General features: G+C 57.8%; 2 protein-coding genes and 1 long non-coding RNA gene across 12 annotated transcripts in view, besides 8 other annotated features; all 3 read left to right on the top strand.

The window, feature by feature from the left end:
• ZC3H18 (zinc finger CCCH-type containing 18) overlaps nt 1-18,782 on the top strand; it is a 61,562-nt gene extending 42,780 nt beyond the window's left edge. For all 10 annotated transcript variants that reach the window (NM_001294340.2, XM_011522863.2, NM_144604.4 and 7 more), the window contains 10 exons: nt 9,015-9,206; nt 10,037-10,162; nt 10,776-10,880; nt 11,420-11,563; nt 12,020-12,085; nt 14,440-14,600; nt 14,738-14,937; nt 15,576-15,672; nt 17,303-17,399; nt 17,919-18,782. In NM_001294340.2, coding sequence (NP_001281269.1) covers nt 9,015-9,206; nt 10,037-10,162; nt 10,776-10,880; nt 11,420-11,563; nt 12,020-12,085; nt 14,440-14,600; nt 14,738-14,937; nt 15,576-15,672; nt 17,303-17,399; nt 17,919-18,117 — 1,387 coding nt within the window. In that variant the 3' untranslated portion in view covers nt 18,118-18,782. The remainder of the gene's footprint in view (nt 1-9,014; nt 9,207-10,036; nt 10,163-10,775; nt 10,881-11,419; nt 11,564-12,019; nt 12,086-14,439; nt 14,601-14,737; nt 14,938-15,575; nt 15,673-17,302; nt 17,400-17,918) is intronic.
• Nucleotides 14,412-15,128: an enhancer, noted in NCBI's record as "H3K27ac-H3K4me1 hESC enhancer chr16:88694002-88694718 (GRCh37/hg19 assembly coordinates)". NCBI's record gives its function as "activates a minimal SCP1, AML or CMV promoter by ChIP-STARR-seq in naive H9 embryonic stem cells {active_cell/tissue: H9 hESC(naive)}" and the evidence as "EXISTENCE:reporter gene assay evidence [ECO:0000049][PMID:30033119]".
• Nucleotides 15,129-15,843: an enhancer, noted in NCBI's record as "H3K27ac-H3K4me1 hESC enhancer chr16:88694719-88695433 (GRCh37/hg19 assembly coordinates)". NCBI's record gives its function as "activates a minimal SCP1, AML or CMV promoter by ChIP-STARR-seq in primed H9 embryonic stem cells {active_cell/tissue: H9 hESC(primed)}" and the evidence as "EXISTENCE:reporter gene assay evidence [ECO:0000049][PMID:30033119]".
• Nucleotides 20,251-20,320: an enhancer, noted in NCBI's record as "active region_11358". NCBI's record gives its function as "activates an Ori minimal core promoter by ATAC-STARR-seq in GM12878 lymphoblastoid cells {active_cell/tissue: GM12878}" and the evidence as "EXISTENCE:reporter gene assay evidence [ECO:0000049][PMID:35858748]".
• Nucleotides 21,181-21,230: a silencer, noted in NCBI's record as "silent region_7859". NCBI's record gives its function as "represses an Ori minimal core promoter by ATAC-STARR-seq in GM12878 lymphoblastoid cells {active_cell/tissue: GM12878}" and the evidence as "EXISTENCE:reporter gene assay evidence [ECO:0000049][PMID:35858748]".
• Nucleotides 21,331-21,390: a silencer, noted in NCBI's record as "silent region_7860". NCBI's record gives its function as "represses an Ori minimal core promoter by ATAC-STARR-seq in GM12878 lymphoblastoid cells {active_cell/tissue: GM12878}" and the evidence as "EXISTENCE:reporter gene assay evidence [ECO:0000049][PMID:35858748]".
• Nucleotides 21,431-21,510: a silencer, noted in NCBI's record as "silent region_7861". NCBI's record gives its function as "represses an Ori minimal core promoter by ATAC-STARR-seq in GM12878 lymphoblastoid cells {active_cell/tissue: GM12878}" and the evidence as "EXISTENCE:reporter gene assay evidence [ECO:0000049][PMID:35858748]".
• Nucleotides 21,592-22,521: an enhancer, noted in NCBI's record as "H3K27ac-H3K4me1 hESC enhancer chr16:88701182-88702111 (GRCh37/hg19 assembly coordinates)". NCBI's record gives its function as "activates a minimal SCP1, AML or CMV promoter by ChIP-STARR-seq in naive H9 embryonic stem cells {active_cell/tissue: H9 hESC(naive)}" and the evidence as "EXISTENCE:reporter gene assay evidence [ECO:0000049][PMID:30033119]".
• Nucleotides 21,731-21,890: a silencer, noted in NCBI's record as "silent region_7862". NCBI's record gives its function as "represses an Ori minimal core promoter by ATAC-STARR-seq in GM12878 lymphoblastoid cells {active_cell/tissue: GM12878}" and the evidence as "EXISTENCE:reporter gene assay evidence [ECO:0000049][PMID:35858748]".
• On the top strand, nt 21,826-24,252 carry LOC124903755 (uncharacterized). The gene is made up of 2 exons (XR_007065181.1): nt 21,826-23,530; nt 23,618-24,252. It is a non-coding gene; the product is annotated as an uncharacterized LOC124903755 (long non-coding RNA).
• A 1,137-nt stretch (nt 24,253-25,389) lies between these two features.
• On the top strand, nt 25,390-27,286 carry IL17C (interleukin 17C). Its single transcript, NM_013278.4, has 3 exons — nt 25,390-25,465; nt 25,799-26,127; nt 26,632-27,286. Exons 1-3 carry the CDS (start codon nt 25,460-25,462, stop codon nt 26,888-26,890), a joined length of 594 nt encoding a protein of 197 aa, NP_037410.1. The 5' UTR covers nt 25,390-25,459; the 3' UTR covers nt 26,891-27,286.

A 27,405-nucleotide genomic window follows, 5' to 3' on the forward strand; every position in this document is an offset into this window, starting at 1 on the left:
ATTTGTCCACGTTGTAGCGTGGGTCAGTGCTTTATTCCTCCATGGATGCACCGCATTGCATTTCTCTGTTCGTCTGTTGATGGACGTTGGGTTGTTTCCAGCTTTTGGCTGTTGTGGTTGTGAATTTGTGTGCAAGTTTTTGTGTGGACATAGGTTTCCATTTTTCTTGAGCATATACCTCAGTGTGGAATTGCTAGATCACATGGTCACTCTATGTTTAGCTGTTTGAGAAACCCTCAAACTGTTGTGCAGAGCAGCTGCACCTTTTACATTCCCGCTAGCCGCATAGGAGGGCGCCATCTCTCTGCATCCTTGTCTGCACTTGCTGCGGTCCGTCTTGTTGATGACAGCCGTCTTGGTGGGTGTGACGTCTCCCTGCCGTTGCGATTTGTATTTCTCTGATGATGGATGATAATGAGAGCATCTTCTTCTGTGCTTATCAACCATTTGTATATCTTCTTTGGAGAAACGCCTATTCAGATCCTTTGCTCATTTTTTGTTTTTTATTATTGAGTGGTAAGAGTCCTTTATGTATTCCAGATACAAGTCCCTTATCAGGTTCATGATGTGCAGTTCCAATTAATGTTTTCTATTTTGTTGCTTATGGTTTTGGTGTCATGTAAGATACCATTGACTAATACAGGGTCATAAAGATTTACTGCCGTGTTCTCTTCTAAGAGTTTCATAGTTTTAGCTCTTACACATAGGTCTTTGATCCAGGCTGGGTGACAGAGAGAGACCCTGTCTCAAAAAAAGGGGGGGTGTCGATGAGAGCATGAACGTTGCTCCGTCTCAGGGTTGGTTTGTGTCACCGTCCCCGTGGGGGTGAAATGCAAGGAGGGATCAAGGCAGTTCCTTATTGGGAAACAGCCCGAGATCCTTCCAGGGCCATGGCCTGCAGGACTTCCCAGTCAGGAGTCTGTACTTCCAACTCAGGGATGTTGTTTGACTTGGCTCTCATAAAAATCCACATTTGGGCCTACACCTTCCAGTAACACTGGACTCCGCTAGACCTGCAGGCATGGGCAGCTTCGTGGCTGGAGCCACACAGTGGCCACACTTGGAGGGGCCACAGTTCTCATGCTCCCCTCAGAGACCTGGCAGCCATCAGGACCTGCGACTGTGGCTCTGGAAGGATTTGCTTTCCACCACGGGACAAAAACAAGCCCCTTGTCCTCCTCATCTTGTCCGTGTGGCTGGACGACACCCGCTCTTGTGTACAGTGGAACACAAGTCATCTACGCTTTTCTGAAAGTCAGCTCTCAGGCAGGACTTCGCAGGCCTTTGTTTCAGGGTCACTCATGGCTGTAGCTGCTGCTTAGCCGGTGGCAAGTGCCAGTTTTGACTGTTTTCATTCTCCAGCTCACAGTGAATGGACTTCCCTAAATGTGCTGTATTTGTCATACTTTCCTAACACTAGGCAAAGTAATCTTCTTAAAGAACATTCAGAATAAGTGACATATTTCAGATGTTTTTAATCCTTTTATGTTACAGTAATCTCTAAGTTATTTTGAAGTTTACATGGTCATCCAAACGGGGAAACCGTCATTGACCTTGACATTGTGCCGCCTTCTTCAGCCTTTCAAGCCCTTTTGGATAGAAGCCCTTCCCCTACAGCACACACAGTATTTTCAGTGTGCACTCAGCCTAAGGCTGCCTTCTCCCCTGAGACCCCACTGCAAAGGTGCAGCCCAGCACCCCGTGCACACACCCCCAGCCGCTCCCTCTGCCCAGATGGGCTGCCCCCATTTCCTCCATTCCGTCTGCCTGGACGGGCTGCCCCACCTCCTGTTCCCTCTGCCCAGATGGGCTGCCCCCACCTCCTCCATTCCCTCTGCGTTTGACAGGCTGCCCCCACCTGCTCCGTTCCCTCTGCCTGGACGGGCTGCCCCCACCTGCTCCGTTCCCTCTGCCTGGACGGGCTGCCCCCACCTGCTCCGTTCCCTCTGCCTGGACGGGCTGCCCCCACCTCCTCCATTCCCTCTGCCTTTGACAGGCTGCCCCCACCTCCTCCGTTCCCTCTGCCTTTGACAGGCTGCCCCCACCTCCTCCGTTCCCTCTGCCCGGACGGGCTGCCTCTACCTCCTCCAGGGTTTTGCTCAGATTCCTCTGCACAGGGAAGTCTCCCCATCCCCTCCTGCTTGCCAGCCTGCTTTCTTGTTCCTCATGGCCCTCAGTGCCCATCTGGAGCCCTTGCAGCAGATGGTCCTGGGGCACCACCGTCTGCCCTGCTCCCCGTTGCAGCCTCTGTGCCTGTCCCAGAGTCCCGCACAGGTTGGTGCTTACCCACATTTGGGGGTGCTGTCCGTGAGTTTTGGATTTGGTATCAGCCTGCATTTTTACCTGCATGTCATAATTGATTGTTACAGGGTTGCTAAAATTGCACATTGATTTCTACAAACAGAACCAGCTGAGTCTGCTTTCCAGATTCACAAAATAGGGGTTTTCACGCCACCCAGATCATTGGTTTTAGAAGCAGAGACATAGAAAGGCAGTGATATCCACGTGGAAGGTCACTGTGCTGTGTGGCTCTGGGTTTATGAGTCCGTCAGCATGTCCACTTTGGTGGCTTATGGGCACACGTGCCTGGCCACAGACCCCCTTCCCCAGCCCCTAGTCATGTATTCTGCCTGTTTCTAAGCAGCCGGGGGCTCTTCCCAGTCAGGAGTCTGTAATTCCAACTCAGGGATGTTTTCTGTGTACAAGAATGTACTTCTGGAGTACGCGTTAGAGGGCCGCCATGCCTAAGGTTGCTGTGTTCCTCTGCTGTGGCCCGCACTTTAGTGACCCGCGGAATGGGAGGGCAGATTCCCGACTGCTGTGCCCGTCTCCTGTGTGCTCAGCCTCCCCAGAGGAAAGCGGGTGACGGATCCCAGGAGGCTTGGAGAGGGTAACTCTGCCAGCATGGCCACCAGGCAGCAGGTTGCCATCGCCAGCCCCTGAGCCCTCAGCTTCACAGAGGAGTCTTACATTCAGGAAGGGACTGGGAGGTGCTCAGACGTTGTCTGGCCTGATCTGGGCTCACAGCTAGGGTTCAGGAAACTCTGTACTAAATGAGTTTTTCTTAAAATCAAACACAGCTGCTCTCACCAAACTGGGCCGAGCCGCTCTTCCCACCTGTTTCTGACCTGGTTCATTTCCCTTCTGCGAGGCTCACGTCCCTTTCTTTCCTTCCTGAAGCACTTGCTTGTGCTCCTGGGGCTGCCCTCAGCCCCTTCTCGGAGCTGCCAGCAGCAGGGCTGACGTTCTCTGCGTCGCTTGCCTGGATTCATTCAGCCGGCTTCCGGGTGCTGGGGAGTCCCCGGTCTTGGCTTCACTCACCTTTGCGGGAGCCCTGCCAGGCCCGCTACCTGCCTGGAGGACAAGGGTTTCCCCAGCGCAGAATTTCCAGCCAGTGCTCCTGCTTCCTTCTCCCTTATCAGCCAGAACTGGCCTGGCTGCCTTTTCAGGAGCAGCTGAATTCCCTTTGCAGTAATACACGTATTGAATGGGTGGGTCTTTGGCAGGTTGGGAGTTTGTAATCATTAGGTGGATAGAAAGAACTTTTCTCACCTAAACTGGAAGAAAATGACACAGTTTTACCCAGGGAGATCCATTTGGGAAGATTCTGCCTTCAGCTACCAAGCAGAACACGAATGAGGGGCTCTGCAGTGTCCAGCACGGCTGCACCAGGGCTAGGCCTTGCATGGGGGCTACACCCTAGTGAAGCGCAGTCACTTTTGTTTGGTCTGAAGCGCGGCCCAGGCTCGTTATAGCAGGCACTTCACCACCCCAAGCTTCACGAGAGGGGGCACAGTCGTGCAGCGGGAGGAGCGAGAGTCGGCCACTGTTTGGGTGCCATGGGTGTCCTGGGTAGAGTTGAGGGCCTCCCCCGGGAAGGATAATGCTGAGCCCCAATAGGAAACACTGCCCTGAGCTATCTGATGGCCAGCCCTCTGTCCATGGGGGAGCCATTTCTTTTCCTTATCTCTAAGCTAATACCCCTCTTTCCTGAGGTTCTCTCTTACTGCCTAAGCTGTTTGGCTCTGGGAGTTACTGGCTAGCTTGTCCCCGTCGGGATCTCATCCCCATCGGTATCTCTGGCAGGGCTTCTTGACCAGCTCCCCCCTGGACCTGCGGCTGGAGACGGAGTTGTGCCGCTCTCTCCGTCCTAGTTTGCCTTTTGAGGCTTACCCACTCCTCCACCTGGGCTGTTTTAAAATGATTAGAGCAGAACCTTTCAATCAATTCTATCAAATGCATCTGTAGAGCTAAGGGGGCGGTCCCTTATGTGAAACCTAATCTTTATAGCTAGGCCGATGGGTGTGCTCACCGCCGAGGCACGTCATTACGATGCTCTTTGGCTAGTCATTGTCATTAGAAATGTAAACACTGATTGGGGACCTTCCCGCAGGAGCTGTCTGGGCTGCCTGCTGTCTCCAAGCTATTCAACTTCCAGGTTTACCTTTGCAGCTTTGGGTGCCCCTTCAGGGCTTGAGCTTGGCAGGCTCCTGCGGTGGGGTTGTGGGGTGGACCCCTGAGACTGGAAGCACTCGCCCCCCAGCACCTACTCACCCCGGGCTCTTCATTCTCACTCTTCCCTGGTAAGTTCCGGACACCGCAGAGTCCGCACCCCTTTGGCGGCCCATCCAGTGGGCGCCTGCTTCCTGGGCCACCGCTTCATGCTCAGTTTTTTGGGCTGAGCCCTCTCATCTGCCAGTTTGAGGCACCCCAGGAGTCTCAAGATCTCTGCTGGGAGTGGGCCAGGCTACACAGTCTTCTTCAGAGGGATTTGTGACTCCCCTAGAAAGGTTAAGAAACCCTATTTTAGACCAGCCTTCTGGGTAAGGGACTAGTGGAGTTAGGGATTTTCATGTGCAGTTGAACGCACAGAAGGCGCAGTTGCTGGTGTTTGTATCTGCTCTGCGCTGAGACTGGCTCTTGCAGGTGTGAGTGAGGCCGCCTGGCCTTCTGCACAAGTCACAGAGAAGGTGACGGCCACTCAGGTCGTCCATTGGACTCCACTTTTTTTTTTTTTTGCAAAGTGTAAAGACATGGGGCGGGCACTCCAGGTCTGCTTTGGGCTTTTTCTGTTACGTTTTAAGGGAGGTGGGGAGAGCATGTGGCCCGTAGCTAAATGCTCCACAGGCACTCACAGAACAAGCCAGGAGAGAAGCTTTGCTGTGGAGGTGCTCCCAGAGCTGCCTCTGAGCAGGCTCAGCCCGGGGAGGCCCATAGGCTCCCATCTCCCTTTTCCCTTGTTGATGTAGATGCTTAGCTCTTTTGATTGAAGAAAGAACCTTCATGCGTTTTTATCCTTTTTCACCTTTGACCCCAAACTTGACAGCTGCTGGGGTTGGAGTTTCTGGACACGTGGCCTGTAGCAGCCTGGCATCTGTGGCGCCTCGTGTGGCTGCTGGCATCGGTGAGGCATGAGCTATGAGTGTGCCAGCCTCGGGCCCTTGGTTTTGTCTGCCTCTGGCATGTTTGCATTGGTGGTGGAGCTGACCTTTGCCCCTTAGAGAGTCTCCTGTGGCCTTCAACGGGGAATGGGGGCCAGATGATAGCGCGGGCCTTGTGCTGCGGGAAAGGCTACTTCCTCAGTCAGAGGTCATCTGGAGGGTTCTCCCCTGCGGTTGGAAGTGTTCATGCAAATTCCAGATCTGTCCTGGCCCAGCTTGGAGGTGGGCCTTCCTGACTGGGCCATCCCTTGCGAGCGTTCTCAGCCCACACTGGCTCCCTCTGCGCAGGCCCCTACTTGTGAAGGAGCTGAGCCGCACTCGGTGGGCTGTCCTGGGGCACCCATGTTGTGTGTTTTGGTTTTGTTTATTTTGTATCTGCCTGGTTTTTCCAAGTCTAATCAGGATGTCCCCTGGGGTGACATTCTTTGCTGAGAGAAGGGCACATGCCTCGGTTCCCTGGGCTGTAGAAAGCCAGTGCTCAGCCTTGCTTTCTGCCGCAGACTTGGTGCCCGGAGACTCGCTATCAAAGTGCAGTGGAGATAATGTCCAATGGGAGGCTGAGGCAGGAGAATGGCATGAGGCAGAGCTTGCAGTGAGCCAAGATCGCACCACCGTACTCCAGCCTGGGCAACAGAGCGAGGCTCTGTCTCAAAAAAAAGAAAAAAGGAAAAAAATGGTTATCTGCATCCTGGTTAAAATCAGTACCACCACGTCCCACACGTGGTAACATGGACTTGCTGGATAGGACCTCCTTGCTCCATGGGCCTGGAAGCAGCTGCTTCAGAAGGAAGGTGGTGCGGCCGGCGGCAGCGGAGGGCGCGCTGTGCAGTGACGAGATGGTGCAGGCCCGTCCACAGCCCTGGCCCAGAGAAGGAGAGACCTCACTGACCCCTGCTGGGCCTGCCTCTGGCCATCTTCATTTTGAAATTCGGTATCATTGTCTCCAGAGGGAATGAGCAGCTCTTTCTGGGGGGCAAGCACCAGCTGCCCTGAGATTGTGGAGGCCTGCACTGCCCGCCTCTCTGGACCTCAGCTGGTTTTATTTCCATGCCGTGGCAGGGGGCAAGCAGACGCTGTTTTTCCTTCCCCCTCACCGCAGCTAGGACTCCACATGCTGTTACAGCTTCACCCGAAGAAGAGGTGGTCCTGACCACGCCTTGACTTCTGCCCGTTCCCTCTCCCTGTGTTGGAAGGGCCGCGCTGTCCCTGTGACTTATTGGTGCTCCCTTTCCTCTTGGGGTGTTAGGATGAGAGTTATACAGGAAGTATAAAGGTGAAAGTAGCTCTCTAGTAGCCTGTGACAGGGAGGATCATCAGACAGGTGTTTACTTCCTTCCTGGATTACTTTTCCAGGAGACACCCAGATGTGGCAATAGCTCTTGGGGTTTTGGGCTGACGTACAGGAGCTGAAGCTGTGATGTCGCGTGTCCGTGTCCTTAGGACAGTGTTAAGTGGGGAGCTGCCCCCATCCTGCATTCTCAGCAGATAGCAGGCATGTTTGCCAGCCGGTTGGTTAAACAAGCTCTGAAAACATAAACATTGATGGTTTTGGTGGTTTCATGTGTTGTCGTGTGACGTAAGCAGATGCTACCACAGCAGAGCCAGAGGTGAGCAAGACGTAGGGCAGAGAATCCCACTCACAGTAACACAGGAACTAAAACAGCTTTTTAAAATGTGTTTGCAGGCCAGGCATGGCGGCTCAAGCTTATAACCCCAGCACTCTGGGAGGCCAGGGTGGGAGGATCACTTGAGGCCAGAAATTCGAGACCAGCCTGGGCAACATAGGGAGACCTCAAATCAATGTTTAATGACCTGGGTGTGGTGGTGCACACCTGCAGTCCTGGCTACTCAAGAGGCTGAGGTGGGAGGATCCCTTCAGCCTGGAAGCTCAAGGCTGCAGTGATTATGCCACCACACTCCAGCCCACATGGGTAACAGAGCAAGACCCTGTCTCTAAAAAAGAAAAAAAAAAAAAAAGCCACGTTCTGCTTATACAATTGCCAGGATTTTGGGTTAGTTTGTGTCTGGGTGGTGGTTGTGGTTCTTAGTGGTGACACCGAGCCCAGGTTCGGCACCGCACACTGCTGGCTGAATGAGGAAAAAATATCTGATAACCCACCAAGAACCTGTAAAATGTGTATCTCCTTTGACCCATTAATTCCATTGCTCAGGAGTTTACCCTTTAAAAAGTCAGATAAAGATTTATATATAAGGGGTCAGTTTAATATCATTTGTGTTTGGGTTTTTTTGTTTGTTTTTTATAATGGAGTCTCACTCTGTTGCCCAGTTTGGAGTGCAGTGGCGCAGTCTCAGCTCACTGCAATCTCTGCCTCCTGGGTTCAAACCATTCTCCTGCCCTCAGGCTCCCCAGTAGCTGGGATTACAGGCACGTGTTACCACACCCAGCTAATTTTTTTGTTTTTTGTTTTGTTTTGTTTTGAGACGAAGTCTTGCTCTGTCGCCCAGATTGGAGGGCAGTGGCGCAGTCTCAGCTCACTACAACCTCCGCCTCCCAGTTTCAAGCAATTCTCCTGCCTCAGCTTCCCAAGTAGCTGGGATTACAGGCGCCCGCCACCACATCCAACTAATTTTTGTTTTTGTTTTTATTTTTTTTTTTTTGAGACAGAGTCTCGCTCTGTCGCCCAGGCTGGAGTGCAATGGCGCGATCTCGGCTCACTGCAAGCTCCACCTCCCGGGTTCACGCCATTCTTCTGCCTCAGCCCCCCAAGTAGCTGGGACTACAGGCGCCTGCCACCACGCCTGGCTAATTTTATATATTTTTAGTAGAGATGGGGTTTCACCATGTTAGCCAGGATGGTCTCGATCTCTTGACCTCGTGATTCGCCCGCCTCGGCCTCCCAAAGTGCTGGGATTACAGGTGAGCCACCGCAGCCGGCCTAATTTTTGTATTCTTAGTAGACATGGAGTTTCACCATGTTGGCCAGGCTGGTCTCGAACTCCTGACCTCATGATCCGCCCACCTCAGCCTCCCAAAGTGCTGGGATTACAGGCATGAGCCATCGCGCCCAGCCTAATTTTTGTATTTTTAATAGAGACAGGTTTCACCATATTGGCCAGGCTGATCTGGAACTCCCGACCTCAAGTAATCCACCCGCCTCGTCCTCGCAAAGTGCTGGGATTGCAGGCGTGTGCCACCATACCTGGGCTTATTTCATAAATATTTATTATGAACCTACTAGTATATCAGCACTAGAGATAGTATTAGACACGGCAGACACCATCCCTGTCCCTCCTAGAGCTGACAGCGTAGTTGGAAAGATGGAAATTAAGTAAGTAATGACACTCACAGAAAGTAACTGCCATTCTGGTTCAGGAGAAATCTGGGTGTTCCCCTGAGTAACAGACACTGAGCCAAGGGCCATGGACATCACCCAAGTCCATGGGGTGATGGGTTTTGTGAGTGGCCTTTTTTCCCCTTAGGACCCTTTGTTTCTCAGGTGATCCTTAAATAAGCCAGGTATGAGATCCATAGTCTCTCCCGCTGCTGTCACACCTGGCATTGCTGTGAAGCGGAAGGTGGCCTGAGAGTTGCTAATGCCTCTGTAATTTCAGCCGCCAAGCTGAGCCACCAAAGAAGGAGGCTGCCACCACGGGGCCGCAGGTGAAGAGAGCAGATGAGTGGAAGGACCCTTGGCGCCGATCCAAGTCTCCCAAGAAGAAACTCGGGGTGTCGGTCTCCCCGAGCCGGGCTCGAAGGCGTCGGAAAACATCAGCCTCGTCAGCCTCTGCCTCTAATTCCTCCAGGTAAGGAGGGCTCGTGGGACGGCTGGGGTGTCAGCACCTTGGAGCCGTCAGCTGACACCATGTACCTCACTGGGTCAGGTGGGGAACACCCCAGCCCCACTGTTTGCTGTGGCGTCGTTACCTGCAGACCAGTCAGTGGGACTAACCCGGCGTTTATACCTTCAGCAAAGAGCATCAATGCCAAGTAGGACTGACGCAGTGACCCCAAATGGGGCACAGACCCCGGCGACTGAGCCTGACTGCTCCCAGGGAGTCACAGGCCACACTGGAGGGAGGGGCACCTGGATGCGGGAGGACGCACAGACCTGGGGCCCAGTGAGTCCATCTGTTCCTCCAGACTGGACCTGAAACTGTTGCCCCTCCACCTACGGTCCTGGTCTCAGCACACAGGAGCCCGGCTCCCGAGTGAGGGATGATGGAAAGCAGGGGGCCGGGGTAGACCCCATCATGCTCGGCAGGAACAGGAGGTGTGGGTGGGAGGCCAGGCTTCACTGAAAGTGGATGCAGATGAACAGATAGACACACACACGGACCCACGTGAGCTGGGTCTGCCCACTCAGGCAGCGCCACCCGGTAACAGCAGGCACACCCCACGCCCAGGTCTTGATTTCTAAATGCCGTTCTGCACCAAGGAGGGATGGCACTGAAGAGTGTCTGGGGGAGGCTGTATGCGTCTGTGCGCGCGTCTGCAGCTGTGCGCGCGTGCGCAGCTGTGCGCTTGTGTGTAGCTGTGCGTCTGTGGGTGTGTAGCTGTGCATGTGTGCGTCAGGGCGTGTGGGGCAGGGAGGGCCCTTCTCACTTCTCGCCACGCTCCGTCCCGCCCGCCCCAGGTCGTCTTCGCGGTCATCGTCCTACTCTGGCTCCGGCTCCTCCCGGTCGCGATCCCGGTCTTCATCCTACAGCTCCTACTCCAGCCGCTCTTCCAGACACAGCTCGTTCTCAGGAAGCCGGTCCAGGTATGTCCCCAGGGCCCATGAAGGGCCCTCAGCAGGTGCAGTGAGCAAGGGCACCTGCGGATGTGGCTTTAGTTGTGGCGCCAGTAGCCCCTTGGGGTATTGAAGGTCCCTGCTGGCAGCTGAACTAGGATGGCCAGGGGGTCGTGTCCTGTGTCCCCCACCAAACACCAGCCTTGCGGGCCCTCGTCCTTGTGTAGATGCGTGCTGTCACTGAGGGCCACAGCCTGAGATCCTCGAGTTGAGGCACTCCAGTCCTCCGCAGACAGGCCGAGGAAGGGGCCAGACCCAGCCCTGTCCTGTGGGTGTTTCTATGGGAGCTGTGCTGCTGCCCCACTGCCAAGGAGCCTGTCTCCTCCTGTCCTGCACACACATGAACGTGACACTCGCCTCCCGGAGGACCCGCCAGTGGATGCTGACACCTTCCACGCTCTCTGGTCTACTCTGGGCCTGTGTTTTTAGCAGATGACAGAACAGTCCAGAACTGAAGTTAAAACTGAGGCACATAAATGGAAATTCGTGGCCTTCTCCATGGGTCTGGGTGGGTCCTCAGTGGGCTTGGGCTGGTGAAGAAACACCCCCAGGCCCCTTCCGACACCTTTGTTCACTCCCCTAGGTCCCGGTCCTTCTCTTCGTCCCCGTCCCCGTCCCCAACACCTTCCCCACATAGACCTTCCATCAGAACCAAGGGAGAGCCGGCCCCGCCGCCCGGGAAAGCAGGGTGAGTGCCCAGCCTGTGGGCAAGTCCTGGCCGGCCAGGCCTCCACAGGCTGCAGCCTCCTCCCTCCGTCTCTATCTCTCATTTGTGTTTGGGACCAAAGAGGTGAGGATGCCTCAGGGGGCTGGCCCCAGGGGGTGACTGGGCTGGGAGGCACTGGGCACAGCTCCTGTTCTCACGGGCCACCCTTACACAGCAGCACTCCCTCGGGAACCCTGGGGACAGAGCACAGCCCTGGGGACACGGCAGCAGCCGGGTGTTCTTAAGGGGTCTTCCTATTAGCCTGCTCTCCCCACTGCCTGGCGGTGCCTGTAGCTCTTGCCTGTTAGAGGGGAGCCTGGAAGGGCTGCTGGGGGCTTTGAAGCCGTTCCCAAGCACTCTGACACCGATGGGTGGGGAGCCGTGTCCAGGCACGAGCGTGCTCACCGAGCGTCACAGGCATGCAGTGTCGTTCCCCGAGCTGTGGGTCCATTGAAAGGGGATGTAGGCCAGCGGGGCCCCGTCCACCAGCCCTGCCCTGCTCGAGCCTCCCTGTCTCACAGAGAGAAGTCAGTGAAGAAGCCGGCCCCGCCTCCAGCCCCACCACAGGCCACCAAAACCACTGCTCCTGTCCCCGAGCCCACCAAGCCAGGAGACCCTCGGGAAGCCAGGAGGAAGGAGCGGCCAGCCAGGACCCCCCCCAGGAGGTGAGCACTCCGGCGTCCGGGGCCCTCAGGCTTTCCGTGTTCTTGGTGCCACTGTGATGCTGGCACTGCTGGAAATCCAGAGTGCCAGGGTCCAGAGCCAGGTGGTGGGAAGCGCCCCCTAGCCGAGCAGCACCCAGTGAGCCCTTACCCGGGAACCTGCCCTGTCCCCTCCCTGAGCCTGTGTTTCTGGAGCGTGAAGGGGAAGGGACAGCGTGGCACGGAGCACAGGCCTTCCCGCCATGGCCCCGTCTGCACTGGAAGGTGCTGCCCCCGAGAGACTGTACTTTTTATCTTGACAAAACACTGAGCCTAAAGGAAGACAGGCCCAGGCCCTGTTCCAAGGTGGTAGCAAGGCCAGTCTGGAGGCTCACCTCACAGGGCTGCTGGTGGGGAGGGGAGGCCGCGAGGGGCTGTGGAGGCCACGCCCCCTGAGCCCCGCTGTTGCTTGTATTACAGGCGGACGCTAAGCGGCAGCGGCAGTGGCAGTGGTAGCAGCTATAGTGGTTCCAGCTCCCGATCCAGGTCATCCCCATCACCCTGTGCCTCTGTTTCTCCCTCCCCGTCGGGGCCAGGAAGTCCCAGAAGCAGCCAGTGTGGGTTGGGCTGTCTCCCACAGGTGGGCTGGGGCCCTTCTGGATCTGAGTCACCCTGGGGCTGTGGAAGGCTGCGGTTGAAGCTTTGACACAGGAGAAAATGGGCCAGGACTCGTGATAGGAAGACCCCCTCCCCCCACCAAAAAAAGATTCACAAACTCGGGGGCACTCAGGTCAGGAGGAGGTGCCTCTGCCCTGCTGACTTGATGCCCAGCACCCTGAGAGAGCACCTGCACCTGGGGAGGAGCCGGCAGCTTCCAGCCCAGCAGGGCAGAGGCTGGGCCTGCGTGACCTATCACACCTGTCGAGGGAACCGGCCTGAGGGGGTGGGGAAGCCGATAAAAACATCTGAGAAGAGAATACATGGAAAAGCTTTGTGGGCCAGGTGCGGCGGCTCACACCTGTGATCCCAGCACCGTGGGAGGCCAAGGCAGGAGGATTGCTTGAGCCCAGGACTTGACCAGCCTGAGCAACATAGACCCCATCTCCACAGAAAAAGATTTTTTTTTTTTTTTTTTTTTTTGAGACAGTTTCATTCTTGTTGCCCAGGCTGGAGTGCAATGGCGCGATCTCGCTACCTCCGCCTCCCGGATTCAACCTCAGCCCCCTGAGTAGCTGAGACTACAGGCGCACACTGCCACGCCCAGCTAATTTTCTGTATTTTAGTAGAGATGGGGTTTCACCATGTTGCCCAGGTTGGTCTCAAACTCCTGAGCTCAGGCATTCCACCCACCTTGGCCTCCCAAAGTGCTGGGATTACATGCGTGAGCCGCCGCACGCAGCCTAATTTTGTATTTTTAGTAGAGACTGGGTTTTACCACGTTTCTGATCTTGAACTCCTGACCTCAGGTGATCCATCCGCCTCGGCTTCCCAAAGTGCTGGGATTACAGGTGTGAGCCACTGCACCCAGCCCAGAAATTTTTTTTAATTAGCTGGGTATAGTGGTGTGTGCCTATGATCCCAGCTACTTGGGAGGTCAAGGTTGAATGAGCTGTGATCACGACATTGCATTCCAGCCTGGACAACAGAGATCCTGTCTCAAAACAAAAAAAAAGGATTTTTGCTATTTAGTTGTTTTAAAAGAAAGTATTAAATCAGTCCTTAGATTCCTTGCATAGAACTCTTTCATTTCCAGGCAGCAGGTCGTTTATATATTTGTCACAGTTCTTTGTTTCTTTTGTTTGTTTTGTTTCTGGAGAGACATGGTCTTGCTGTGTTGCCCAGGCTGGTCTCAAACTCCTGGGCTCAAGTGATCCTCCCACCGTGGTCTCCCAAACTCGTGGGATTATAGGCATGAGCCACCGCGCCTGGCCTAAATGTTTCTTAATAAGTCTGAAATGTTTTAAAGACCTGACTTTTGAAAAAAAAAAATGGTTCTCTTACATTCCCCCGTTCCTTGCTCCGGTACCCAATGTACCTGGAAGACGTGGTTGGTGTTTTCTCGAGCAGCATATGGGCAGGGCAGACTCAGGTGCCAGTCCTGTGTGCTTTGTGTCCGTGTTGAGTGCACGCCAGTGAAGCTACAGACCTGCTGTTTCCAGTCTGTCTGCCGTGTGTTCCTCAGGCATTCCCTGAGACTGCGGAATTGCTCCTTGTGTTTTTAATTTCCCTGTGGGCTGAGGCTATCTCCCTTTTGTCTAAGCCAGGGACTCTGCTTAAATTCCATCCTTGCCGCTGTTGAGTCAGCTCAGTCCTGTTTCCCTTCCCAAAAAGCAACCTGACATTCGTTTTGTTTTTTGTTTGTTTTGAGACGGAGTTTCACTCTTGTCGCCCAGGCTGGAGTGCGATGGCATGGTCTCGGCTCACTGCAACCTCCACCTCCCGGGTTCAAGCGATTTTTTTGCCTCAGCCTCCCCAGTAGCTGGGATTACAGGCGCCTGCGACCACGCCCGGCTAATTTTTGTATTTTTAGTAGAGATGGGGTTTTACCATGTTGGCCAAGCTGGTCCCGAACTCCTGACATCAGTTCAGCTGGGTCTCAGACCCCATTGCTCGTGACGAGATCTGCCCATCTCAGTCTCCCAGAGTGCTGGGATTACAGGCGTGAGCAGCCGTGCCTGGCTGCAACCTGACATTGATTAGTGAAATGGGGCCCTGGCCTAGCCATGGGGACGTCCCTTACTTTGTAACCCTGAAACTGCCCAGTGTCCCCCCAAAATCACACATTCCGTGGGTACATGATCCATAAATGGACACTGCGTAAAAGTGGACCATGGAGCACCCCCTGCTGGCCCCTCCCTCCAGTCTGGCTGGGGTGTGGTGAGATGTGCTTGTGTGTCCAGGTCCCTGAGCGTGAGCAGCGTCTCCTCAGTGTCCAGTGCTACGTCGAGCAGCAGCTCTGCACACAGCGTGGACTCGGAGGACATGTACGCAGACCTGGCTAGCCCCGTGTCCTCAGCCAGCTCTCGGTCCCCGGCCCCAGCCCAGACCAGGAAGGAGAAAGGTACTCAGGAGCCCTGGTACCTTTGGGGAGCAGCTCCCGGGGGAGGAGGGCGGCATCAGCACAGACTTTGCCTGGCTGTTGGTGTGGCCATGGGAAAATCACCAGTACCCCCATGACTGCGGATTTATCATTGGTAGGAAAATCTAAGAAAGAAGACGGTGTTAAAGAGGAAAAGCGGAAAAGGGATTCGTCCACACAACCACCCAAATCTGCAAAACCTCCAGCAGGGGGGAAGTCCTCCCAGCAGCCCTCGACACCCCAGCAGGCACCCCCCGGGCAGCCCCAGCAGGGCACATTTGTGGCCCACAAGGAGATCAAGTTGACACTGTTGAATAAGGTGAGGGCAAGGGCCCTCCTGGTGGCTGCCCCAGCGTCTAGGCCTGGGTCCATCTGCTTCCTGAGACAGCTTCCTCCTGGGGGACGGAGCCTGAGTGAGGGCGAGTGGGGCCTTGCAGGTGTCAGCACAGCCTGGGTAACAAAGCGAGACTCCATCTTTCCGGCCTGGGCTGGGAAGTGTGAGCATCTGGGGAGGTTTGGGTGCTGCTGGCCTCTCTCTGAACAGAGAGGGCGTTCTCTTCGTGCCTGTGGCCGCCATTCCCTGCCATGCAGTCTCAACACAATACAGGAAGCCTCCGTCCCTGTCCTCTGTCCTCAGCAGGACACATCCCTGTCCTCTGCTGGAAGGGCAAGAGGCCTGGCTTCATGGGTCCCAGGTCCTCCTAGAGTGGCCCCCGTGGGGAGCAGGAAGGCCTGCAGGGTGCTTCCCCTGGAACGTGAAGGGCCCCAAGTGCACAGTGGGGGTGCCCTTGGTCCGGGTCCTGGAGGCCTCACTCAGGGCTACGGGGTCTCATGGGTGTGTGGTGGGACCTTTGGGAGCAGAGCAGGTTGCTGGCAAGGAACCCATGTCCTCTGGGGCGAGGACACGGCTTCTGGCTCCTGGCCCTGCTGTCCTCACTGGCCTCTCTCTTGTCCCAGGCGGCTGATAAAGGAAGCAGGAAGCGCTATGAACCATCAGACAAGGACAGGCAGAGCCCTCCTCCAGCCAAGCGGCCCAACACATCCCCAGACCGAGGTGAGCCTCCCAGCCCCTAGGGGGCAGGGCAGAGGGACGGGAGCCTGGGGATGCGGAGCAGCTGGGTCTGAGACCCCATTGCTCTTAACAAGTAGGAGGAGGGTCCAGAGAACATCTGACTTGCAGATGATGCCTGTCGGTATTTAGGGTGTTGAAAACTAAAACGAAGAAAAGGTTTTAAATATTTGTTTAAAAATAACAGGACCGGGCGTGGTGGCTCACGCCTATAATCCCAGCACTTTGGGAGGCTGAGGCCGGCAGATCACTTGAGGTCAGGAGTTCCAGACCGGCCTGGCCAACCTGGTAAAACCCTGTCTCTACTAAAAATACAAAAATTAGGCCGGGCGCGGTAGCTCATGCCTGTAATCCCAGCACTTTGGGAGGCCAAGGTGGGCAGATCATCTGAGGTCAGGAGTTTGAGACCAGCCTGGCTAACATGGTGAAACCCTGTTTCTACTAAAAATACAAAAAATTAGTTGGGCGTAGTGGCGTGCGTCTGTAATCCCAGCTACTTGGGAGGCTGAGGCAGGAGAATCGCTTGAACCTGGGAGGCAGAGGTTGCAGTGAGCTGAGATTGCACCATTGCACTGCAGCTTGGGCAACAAGAGCAACTGTATTTTTTTTTACACATGTGCCATTTTTGCAAAATATATTTTCCAAAACAAATGAGCAGGAATGGCATTGGTTTTTCCATTTTTGCAAATCTCTTCAGTCTGGCTGACGGAAGACGGCTGGACCCACATGCCTCGTGCCTTCTGGAGATCCTCCCAGGCTCCTGCGGACTGAGTGACGAGGCAGATAGTGTCTATATTACTGTTGAACCACACAGACCTGAAAGGGCCTCGGGGACCCCCAGCCATGCTGACCACACCCCAAGAGCTGGGGCCCAGATGGAAAGACAGGGAGATTGTCCTGGCTGGCTTTGATGGGTGGAGCTCAAACCAGATAGAGGACAAGGGGGCCTGGCCACCCGCACAGACACTCCCAGACACAGAGAACAGGCAGGGGGCTTCCAGACCCCTTCCCAAGCAGTTCTCTGGGTTTGTCGGACACAGGAAGAGGAAGCTGCTCACCTTTGTCCCTAAGCCCAGGGCCTGTGCCCTGTGTGGCTGGTCTGGAACAGCCTTGCTGCCCTTGCCTGGGGTTGGAACCAGGGCCTCTGGGGTCCTGCGGACCTTTGTTCTCGCACCAGCCTTGGGCCTGCGCTGGGCAGTGGCCCCCCCCTCGGTTGCCGCGCCTCCCTCCTAACATTGCCAGAGTGAAACACTCCTAGTCTCTCGGCTTTGCTTGTATTTCTTTACTGCCATGTCTTTCTTGTTGTTCCGTATTTGAAGACCCATGTGATAAATTTCTTCAAAGCTAGGAAGGAGTTTTGTCTCTCTGCGTGAGATATTGGCTGCTTGCTGGAACCTGGGGCCCAGGTTTGGCCTCAGCCTCATTTCCAGATGCCTTGGTGCCCACATCTCTCTTCTCCTACTTGGCTCTCCCCTTTTTATTTCTTTATAAAAATGAAGGTGGTGAACTAAGCAGCCTCAGGCTTTAGAAGTGAGTCCCTGGCATCGGTGAGGCCACCCACACAGCCATTCCCTGTACATCAGGAGGGTGGTCTCACTCTGTACCTATCACCCAGGTTCTCGGGACCGGAAGTCAGGTGGGAGACTGGGCTCCCCGAAGCCAGAGCGGCAGAGAGGCCAGAACTCCAAAGCCCCTGCAGCCCCGGCTGACAGGTGAGTCCCACCCAGCATGTGCCCTGGGCACACCGAGGGGGCCAGCCCCAGTCGCTTCCCCAGGGAGGCCAGCAGCAGCAGGGCTAGCACTGGGCCAGGCTGGAGGCGTCACTACAGCTCCTGCTGGTCTGACGGGGTGAGGGGCATGGACAGCGAATTGCAGCCCCACCCCCCACCCCCCCCCACACACACACACACGCTCCTGCCCTGGTTGAGGCTGGAGGGTGCCCTCTGCTCCGCATGCCCTTGGGCAAAAGATCCCTGGGCACAGAGGTGGGAAGAATAACAGGAGGTTGTGCGGGGCCAGCCCAGGACCCTCCCAGTCTGCTCCACAAAGCCCGGGAGCCAGTGGCTAGGACCAGGCCTGCTTGTGGCAGTGGGAGCCTGGCCATCCAGGGAGCCCCTTGCCTGTCCTGGTGGCCGCTGAGGACACAGTGGAAGCGCCCCTACGGGGAGGTCACCCCTTCCACCTGCAGACGTGGCTTCTGGGGGCTCAAGGTCTTCCCCACCCCCTTGTAGGAAGCGCCAGCTGTCACCCCAGTCCAAGAGCTCCAGCAAGGTCACGAGCGTGCCCGGCAAAGCCTCGGATCCCGGCGCCGCCAGCACCAAATCAGGGAAGGCCAGCACGCTGTCTCGGCGGGAGGAGCTGCTGAAACAGCTGAAGGCCGTGGAGGATGCTATTGCACGCAAGCGGGCCAAGATCCCCGGGAAAGCATAGGCCGTGCCCCGACCGGACTGGACGCATTTTTATACATAGGGTAAGCGCAGCCATTTTGGATTTTGCAGTTAATGTCTTATTTTGGCTGTGATTCTTTTTAAAAAGTAAAAAAGAAAAAAAAGTTTCTCAGCTGGAAAAGAAGCCACACAGGAAATGACAACGACGCTGAATCCCAGCCTCCCTCCCCAGAGCAGAAGTCCCGCAGGACAGACAGACACAGACAGCGCTAGTGACCAGCACGGTTCTCATGTAAATTACAAGCCCCAGCCGCCAGCCCCGCCTTCTCTTCCTCCTCCTCCGTCTTCTTCCCTGGCCCTGGTCAGGCCTGTGGAGCCCCAGCTCTGGGTCCCTAGCCCGGGTCCAGGCAGCCAGGCTCCCTCCTGAGCTGAGAAACGGAACCTCGCGAACCACTGGTGGCACATCCTTCTCCTCCCCCGCCCCTGATCACCCGCCCCCGGATCAGAAATATATCTATATTCTCGACTAAAGTCTCATCAGGAAATATTTCCTGTCTTTTATTTTAAGCATCAAATTGTTTTAGTTGATTTAAAAAGGAAAAAATACAGAAAAGACCAAAAAAAGGCCAAGGGTGTTGTTGGGGCGTCTGTCTAATGTGGTGGGTCTTTTTTTGAGGGGTCTCCTAAAATAAAATATTTTGATAAGCAGCTGTCCTTGCCCTCGTGGTGTGTGCGCCCTCTGCCCATGCGCAGCCGGGGCTGCCTCTGTGTCGTGCACTGCACTCGGCCCAGCACTCGGGAGCCGCTGGGGGGCGAGGGTGTGGCTGTGCACTCACTCCCCCCGGGAGGACCGGCTGTGGAGCAGCTCCTGCCTTCAGACCCAGCCCAGGAGAGCATTGCGCCTCAGTTTCCCCATTCGTGGGGCTGGGTTGGGGCTTCCTTGGTCCGTGAGGTGGAGGTACTTTCCCTGCAGGGGCCGTGGAGCTGCTGGAGGGGAAGAGGTCCAGGGCTGACTCCCAGCCCCAAGCCCAGCTGCCACCACTGCAGTGACCACCACCGGCTCCGTGTGCAGGCCCCAGACCTGCTGAGCCAGGCCCCGCGTGTGATGCCACGTTCCACAGCAGGGGCCACCGGCAGAGCCCCCCAGGACCCACCGCTGCTGCTCCCTGCTTTCCACCTTGAAAGCCACAGGCCTGCGCCTGGGCAGCGGCCTCCCAGGTGCACGCTCCAGGGCCTCCAGCGCCTCCTTTAATCAGATTCAGGTAGCCGCGGTGTGGTGCCCAGGCCTGCGGCCCACCCATCTCCCTCATCTACTTCCTGACCCGAGGTTCAGGATGAGACCTCCAAGAGAGAGCTCCCTCCCACGGGGCCGCGAGCTGAGCCCCAGGGAGGCAGCATCCCGTGCTTCTGCTCCCAGCATGACCTGCGTCCATGCCACTCTTCCCCTGGATTAAATGACAATTAGAGTGTAGGCAGAGGAGCTGGGCGTGAGCGAGCACCACAGGGGGACCGCCTGTGCACTCCTGAGGGGACTGTTTCCCATTTTATGTCCACCTCCCTCCGATAGCGCAGGCCATGCAGTTCATCTTGTGTCCCAGCGGCCTGGATCATGTGTCTCAGCAATTTTTTCTTTTCTTTTTTTTTTTTTTTTTTTCCTGAGACTGAGTCTCACTCTGTCGCCCAGGCTGGAGGGCAGTGGCACGATCTCGGCTCACTGCAAGCTCCGCCACCCGGGTTCACACCATTCTCCTGCCTCAGCCTCCCGAGTAGCTGGGACTACAGGCGGCCGCCACTACGCCCAGCTAATTTTTTGTATTTTTAGTAGAGACGGGGTTTCACCATGTTAGCCAGGATGGTCTCGATCTCCTGACCTCGTGATCCACCCGTCTCGGCCTCTCAAAGTGCTGGGATGACAGGCGTGAGCCACCGCGTCCGGCCACAGTTTTTTGAGGCTTATCCGATTTGCCATCAGGTCAAAGCCAGGTGCAAGGGAATTCCCATTCTCTGAAAAGGGTGGCCTTCAAGGCCACAGAGCTGGAGTCCAGGCCACCCTGGGTGCCAGCCTGCAGCCTGTCATTTGTGAGCTGCACCATGAGGGCTGGAGGCCAGGAAATGGCGCTCTGTGCCCCCAGTGTGGGGCACCTCAAGCTAGCATCTGCAGTGACTGTCTCTTTACGGCCAGGAGCGGACAGGTGAGCCCACCACAGCTCAACGGCCAGGAGCAGACAGGTGAACCCACCACAGCTCACCTGTGGACTGGGACCAGGCGAGGTCCCCTCTGCGGCTGCTCAGCCCCCGGCCACAGCCCTAGGCACCTCAGTCTGGAGCTGGGTTTGAACTCGCACCGGGTGGCAGTGGACCCCAGGTGTGGCTACCCATCCCTCTGGCTCTTGGACACTGGTGCAGAGGGGCCTGTCCTAGGAGGGTGACTGCCCCCATGTGGTCTAGTGGAGAGGATGTTTGGTCAGGCAGCTGGGAAGGACGGCCTTGCTGTGTGACAGGCATCGATGGGCGTCCACGCCCTCCAGGGACGTCCTGCTCCAGGTGGTTGGCACTCACGTTCTCCTCGCTCCCCATGCAGTGACTAGAAAGCCTGTGTGGGATTCTGGCAACGGCATCCGCCCGCCAGCCCCTCCCAGGGGGTGCCCCAGGGCCTCTGCCCTCTGCCCGCAGCTCCTCCCCCACAGCCACGCTTCCACCCACCCGTTCGGCTGGGCTTTGGGTGGGCAGGCAGACGTAGACCCTGCTTGGAGGCGGTGGCCCTAGAGGGATCCACAGATGGGGAAAAGGCCGAGACACACGAGACCACTCCTGCCGGGGAAAACCCATGAGGGGGTGGGGGCGGCCGCGCCGCAGGGAGGGGCCCTCTGCTGTCCCAGCCAACGTCCCATGACGATTTTGCACCCCCGCCAGCAGTGCCCTCGGCTGGACACACCTGCGTTGTGGGCAGCCGGCAGCGCGTGACCCACTGTGCACCTGCGCCTTGATGTAGGGGGGAGACCCTGCAGAGAGCGCTTCCTTCCGCCCTGTCCAGTGCCCTCCCTGCCTCACCCCTCTTCCCGCAGGCCCGCTCAGGGCGCTGAAGGGCTCCTGACCGTGGGTCCGTCCTTCGCTGCGTCTGGGGGGCGTCCCCCGCGCTGCCTCTGACCCGCCCGGCCCTGCGTTTGTCTGAAGCCCCTCGTTCCGCATCTCCGGACCAGGGTCCGGGGGCGTGGTCTGCTGGGGGCGGGCCCGGGTTGTGGTTTGAGAGCCGCTCGGCCTGTCTGGGCCTCCGCCTCCGGGTCGCCCTCCAGCCTTCCTGCCGCCGCTTTTCCAGTCTTGCCCAACCCGGTATTTCTGCGCTTGCCTCAGCCACCCGCAGGAGCGCAGGCCGCCCTTCGTCCTCCCGTCCTCTGCGCCCACAGGACCCCGGGCCCCGCCCAGTCCGCAGGTCCCGCAGGTCCCCCCGGGCGTGTCTTCCTGGCCCTGCGACCCCCGGGACAGCGCTGAGAACACGCGGAAGGTGGGGAGACGCGCGGCGCTGGCCGGGTCCCTGGCGCCGTTCTCGCGGTGCAGCCTGTGCCTGGGAGTCCGGCCGTCCCACCTCAGAACCAGAGCAAAGCGGGAGATGGGGCGGCGGCCGCTGGGGAGAAGGCAGCCCCGGGTCGGAGGAGGAAGGAGGCGGGGGCGGAGCGGAGTCCGCGGTGGGGCTGCCTTCTTCCATCCTCCCCTGGGCGGGGCGCAGGATGCGGGGGCGCCCAGCCGAGGGAGGGAGGCCGGGGAGGACACTCCTGTGCCCGAGGGCTCCGGCTTCTTCTGCTCACTCCCTCCTGCCGAACTTTTCCACTCGGCCATTTACCTCCTCAGGCACTGGCTGCCCTCATCAGGCCGACCAGGTCCTGCCCGAGGGAACGGCGTGTGTGACCCACGTGTGGACAGACCTGTTCCCCATGCCAGGAGGGAGGGTCACTGGCTCCACCGGGGGATGGGGGACGAGGGCACTAGGCCGAGGTGGGGGGCTTCTCGCTCTCCCCGTCTTTTCCTGGCGTTTTCCTCCATTCCCTCTGGCTCCTATTCCCTCCCCCTTCCTCTCTTTCTTGGGTATGGTTGAGCAGGTCGTGCACTGCACAAGGACTCCCAGCAGAGGACGAGGACTGACATCAATTTGTCTTTCCCTCCCAACACTGTGCGTTCCCTAACCCTGCACGAAGGCACCCTCCTCCCCTCCTCAAGATTCCCCACCCGGCCTGGCCTGCAGCCCTAGCCCCAAGCCGCAGCTGGGCAGGTTGGGCAGAGCACTGGGGAGGCCAGGCCCGGCCATGCTGAGCCCGGTGACTCGTCAGGGTTTCCACAAAACATCTTGAGCACCCAGCTGCAGGCCCCTCGGGACGTTTCCAATGAGGCTCCCCTGGGCCCCTCTCTGTGGCAGAAGGGACCCCGGGGCTGCTTCGTAGGTCTCAACCCAGGGGAGGCCCCCAGAGACTCCGGAGCCAGGGAGGGGCCCAGCCCCCTACCCCCAGGCTGTGCTTGGCATGCAGAGATTGCGGGGGGTCTTGAGTTTTTGTCCCCAGAAGAATGGCTGAGTGGACTCTGGAGAAAAGACAAACACCCCTGCCCCACTGCCGCCGCCCTGTCTCCCAACAGTAAGAGTGCTTGTCAGCCTCCTGGCGGCAGGTGCTGCGGCCTGCGACCACCTGAGCCAGGCAGGTGATGCTAATGCGCCTCAGGGCAGCCCTGGCACTGGAGCTGCTATCATCCCACTGTACCCATGGGGAGAGCCGCTCTCCTCCCTCCTTTTTCCATTCTGTGTTATTTACAGAGCACCCTCCTGTATGCCCTGCACTACTCTCAACCCTGGGTACACAGATGGGGCTGCCACAGACGTGGCCCTCAAGGCGCTCAGGCCGCCTTTTGGGGAGGGCCGTGAGGGGCTGGAATTTTTCTGAGACAGCCAAGCGCCCGTGCAGAGAGGCCTGTATCAGCCCAGCCTAAGGCAGGGCCAACCCACACAGGAGCACCTGTCCTGCTGGGGATGCAGTGGGTTCTGCTGTGTCCTGGAAAAGGCTCTACCCACACCCTAACCCAACCTGTGAACGCGCGCTCATTTGGAAAAGGGGCTTTTGCTTTGATGTAATTAGGGAAAGGATCTTGAGATGGCTCATCCTGGGTTAAGGCAGGTCCCACGTCCTGAGAAGGGGGGAGGGATTATCTTTTAGACTGGGCCCTACATCCAACAACCAGTGTCCTTATAAACCACAGAAGAGGAAAAGGCGGGTGCAGCAGAGAGGCCACGGGAGGAGCCGCCAGCCCGGGAAACTGAGGGCTGGAAGAGCCTCCAGGAGGACCCAGCCCTGAACACGCCCAGCTCCACGGCCTCGTGGAATAAACTTCTCCCATTTCACACCCCCCAGTTTGTGGTGCATGGTTAGCACAGCCCTAGGAAACCAGCACGGATAGTGAGCTCCCCGTCACAGGAGGTATGCAAGCAGAGGGTGGGTGGGCAGGGGCACTGTCGGGAGGAGCAGCCCTGGGGACTCCAGCAATCTGTCTTTGATTCCTCCCAGACTGTTAACCCTGGGGCACAGCCTCCTTCACCCCCAGAGGCCCACAGCAGACAAGCTGAGAGCCACACAGCGGCCAAGAGGAGGTGCTGGAGGGCCCAGGGGTCCCAGTGCTGCCTCAGCCCCACCCGACTTGGGAGCTTTTGTGTTCAGAGAGACTGAGGTTTTCAGCTTAGAGGACACCTCCGTGGAACACATCTGCACCGCGGCAGGGGAGGAAAGGCTGGGGGCACACAAGCACCCTCCCTCCCGCCCTCACCCCGAAGCTGAGGGGACCAGGGCGGACAGATTCCCCCACCTCTGATGTGGCCAGGGGCCCTGGGGACTCCAGGACAACCCTCCTCAGGATGACGTCAAACCCCCGGCATTCAAACCTTCCCAAGTTCTGGCTGCAGCTGTCCCTTTCCGGGGAAACAAAGGCACCTCCAGCGCCCCCACCCCCAGCCAGCCTCACCGATCAAGGAGGCCAAAGGCAGCTCCCGGCCCCGCTTACATAAAGCTTCCTGTGTGTGCTGGTCACACCTCACACCTCACGCCTCACGCCTCATGCCTCATTCACACCTCACACCTCACTCCTCACACCTCCAACTCAGACTTTTTAGCTTGAACTTTTTTCTCAATAAAACCACAGAAGCCCAGGCCGGGTGCAGTGACTCATGCCTGTGATCCCAGCACTTTGCGAGGCCGAGGTGGGCAGATCACGAGGTCAGGAGATCGAGACCATCCTGGCTAACATGGTGAAACCCCGTCTCTACTAAAAATACAAAAAAATTAGCCAGGTGTGGTGGCGGGCGCCTGTAGTCCCAGCTACCCGGCAGGCTGAGGCAGGAGAATGGCGTGAACCCAGGAAGCTGAGCTTGTAGTGAGCCGAGATCGCACCACTGTACTCCCCGCCTGGGCGACAGAGTCAGACTCCGCCTCAAAAAAACAACAAAAAAAAAAACAACACAGAAACCCAACAGAGACCTGAAGACGTGCCTGCCTCCCCCATCTCCGGGACCTCTCCCACCTGGGTGAAGGGGGCACGTGAGCCTCACCTGATCTTGACCATCTCAGCTAAAACACTGAACCACCCTTGGCACCCACCAGCAGCAGACGGAGAAGAACTGTATAGGGTGCAAAAGCGCCCCGCCACCATCAGGTCCAGATGAAAACCTACAAGTTGAATCAGCAAGGTGCTGACGGATACGCAAGCAGAAACCCTCTTATAGGAGGTTCAAGGCTGGGCGCAGTGGCTCACTCCTGTAATCCCAGCACTTTGGGAGGCCAAGGCGAGCAGATCACTTGAGGTCAGGAGCCTCAGACCAGCCTGGCCGATATGGCAAAACCCTGTCTGTACTAAAAATACAAAAATTAGCCAGGCATGGTGGGGGGTGCCTGTAATCCCAGCTACTCGGAAGCCTGAGGCAGGAGAATCGCTTGAACCTGGGATGTGGAGGTTGCAGTGAGCTGGGACAGCACCATTTCCCTCCAGCTCGGGTGACAGCAAGACCCTGTCTCAAAAAAAAAAAAAAAGTTTGAGAATGTCAGACAAGGCAGCACCCTGTGTAGGTGCTCAGGTTGGGCGGAGTCTCTCTCGGGGGAGGGGGGTAACAGGACAGCGCCTCCCGGGGCCTCCTTGCATGTCTGTGTCCTGATGCACAGCAGGCGGGGGCTGCGGGGACCAGAGAAGGAAGAAGCGCCCCAGCTGGGCACTTCCCGAGGAGGAAGTGGTGCCGGAATTTCCCCCAGGTGTGGCCTCAGGTATAAGAGCGGCTGCTGCCAGGTGCATGGCCAGGTGCACCTGTGGGATTGCCGCCAGGTGTGCAGGCCGCTCCAAGCCCAGCCTGCCCCGCTGCCGCCACCATGACGGTGAGCCTCTCCACATGCCGCTCGGATGGATGCTGCTTGGATGTGCAGCCTGGCATGGAAGGGCTGGGGTTCTCTGAGCCTGGGAGGAGGGTGTTGGGATGGGGTCTGGGAAACCCCTCAGTCTGGGGGTAGGGGAGGCAGCTGCAGATCCTCGGAGCGCTGGCATGCTGGGTGTCTTGGGCTGAAGGGCTAGCCTCTCTGGGCTTCAGTTTCCCCATCTATAGAGGGAGGGCTGTACTCCATCTTTCCGCTGGGAACAAGGAAAGCTGAGGTGGAAGTGAGGTGCCCCCTGCCCTGGGCACCTCCTAACCACCCACCTGCCTGTTTCACCAGCTCCTCCCCGGCCTCCTGTTTCTGACCTGGCTGCACACATGCCTGGCCCACCATGACCCCTCCCTCAGGGGGCACCCCCACAGTCACGGTACCCCACACTGCTACTCGGCTGAGGAACTGCCCCTCGGCCAGGCCCCCCCACACCTGCTGGCTCGAGGTGCCAAGTGGGGGCAGGCTTTGCCTGTAGCCCTGGTGTCCAGCCTGGAGGCAGCAAGCCACAGGGGGAGGCACGAGAGGCCCTCAGCTACGACCCAGTGCCCGGTGCTGCGGCCGGAGGAGGTGTTGGAGGCAGACACCCACCAGCGCTCCATCTCACCCTGGAGATACCGGTGAGGACCTGGGGATTCCGCTGTGGCGTGGGGCTGCCCCTCCCCTGGCGGGGCCCTGACTGCCCGGAGAGCTCTCTGGGCCTTGGTGGTTCTCACCTGTCAAGTGGGCGTGGCCACCTGAGCTCCCTCCCTCCGGCCCTCCTGACCTGGACGGCTGAGCTGCTGCTTGCGGCTGGCCGTGCCCTGCCTCCCACTGTCCTAGGTGGCCAGGGTCCCCTGGGGAAATTCTGGGCCCGTCACCTGAGCTCCTGCAGAAGTGGGGCTGGGTGATGAAGTGGAAGGGAGGCTCCTAGAGGCCTCCGGACCCTGCTCTGTGCTCTTGGAGGGCCCTGGGGAGACGTGGATTACCACCACATGTGAGCCCGACTGCACCCCAAGCCCGTGTGGCTCAGCCCTCGCTGCCTCAGGTCCTATCCTGAGTACACGGAGAGGGGCCCTGAGGGGAGAGGGGCCTCCAGGAGGACAGGGTAGGGCCAGAGACTCACTGTGCACCCCGTCCCGCAGTGTGGACACGGATGAGGACCGCTATCCACAGAAGCTGGCCTTCGCCGAGTGCCTGTGCAGAGGCTGTATCGATGCACGGACGGGCCGCGAGACAGCTGCGCTCAACTCCGTGCGGCTGCTCCAGAGCCTGCTGGTGCTGCGCCGCCGGCCCTGCTCCCGCGACGGCTCGGGGCTCCCCACACCTGGGGCCTTTGCCTTCCACACCGAGTTCATCCACGTCCCCGTCGGCTGCACCTGCGTGCTGCCCCGTTCAGTGTGACCGCCGAGGCCGTGGGGCCCCTAGACTGGACACGTGTGCTCCCCAGAGGGCACCCCCTATTTATGTGTATTTATTGTTATTTATATGCCTCCCCCAACACTACCCTTGGGGTCTGGGCATTCCCCGTGTCTGGAGGACAGCCCCCCACTGTTCTCCTCATCTCCAGCCTCAGTAGTTGGGGGTAGAAGGAGCTCAGCACCTCTTCCAGCCCTTAAAGCTGCAGAAAAGGTGTCACACGGCTGCCTGTACCTTGGCTCCCTGTCCTGCTCCCGGCTTCCCTTACCCTATCACTGGCCTCAGGCCCCCGCAGGCTGCCTCTTCCCAACCTCCTTGGAAGTACCCCTGTTTCTTAAACAATTATTTAAGTGTACGTGTATTATTAAACTGATGAACACATCCCCAGAGGCCAACATTCAATGCGACATTCTCCCGTTCAGCCCTGGTCCAGGCCAGCCATGGACCCAATTCTGGGGTGTCCTTCCAGAAAGGTCTACGCAGCCGCGAGCAGTGCATGC

The sequence above is a fragment of the Homo sapiens genome, chromosome 16 (genome assembly GCF_000001405.40).
Source record: "Homo sapiens chromosome 16, GRCh38.p14 Primary Assembly".
NCBI classification, from domain to species: domain Eukaryota; kingdom Metazoa; phylum Chordata; class Mammalia; order Primates; family Hominidae; genus Homo; species Homo sapiens.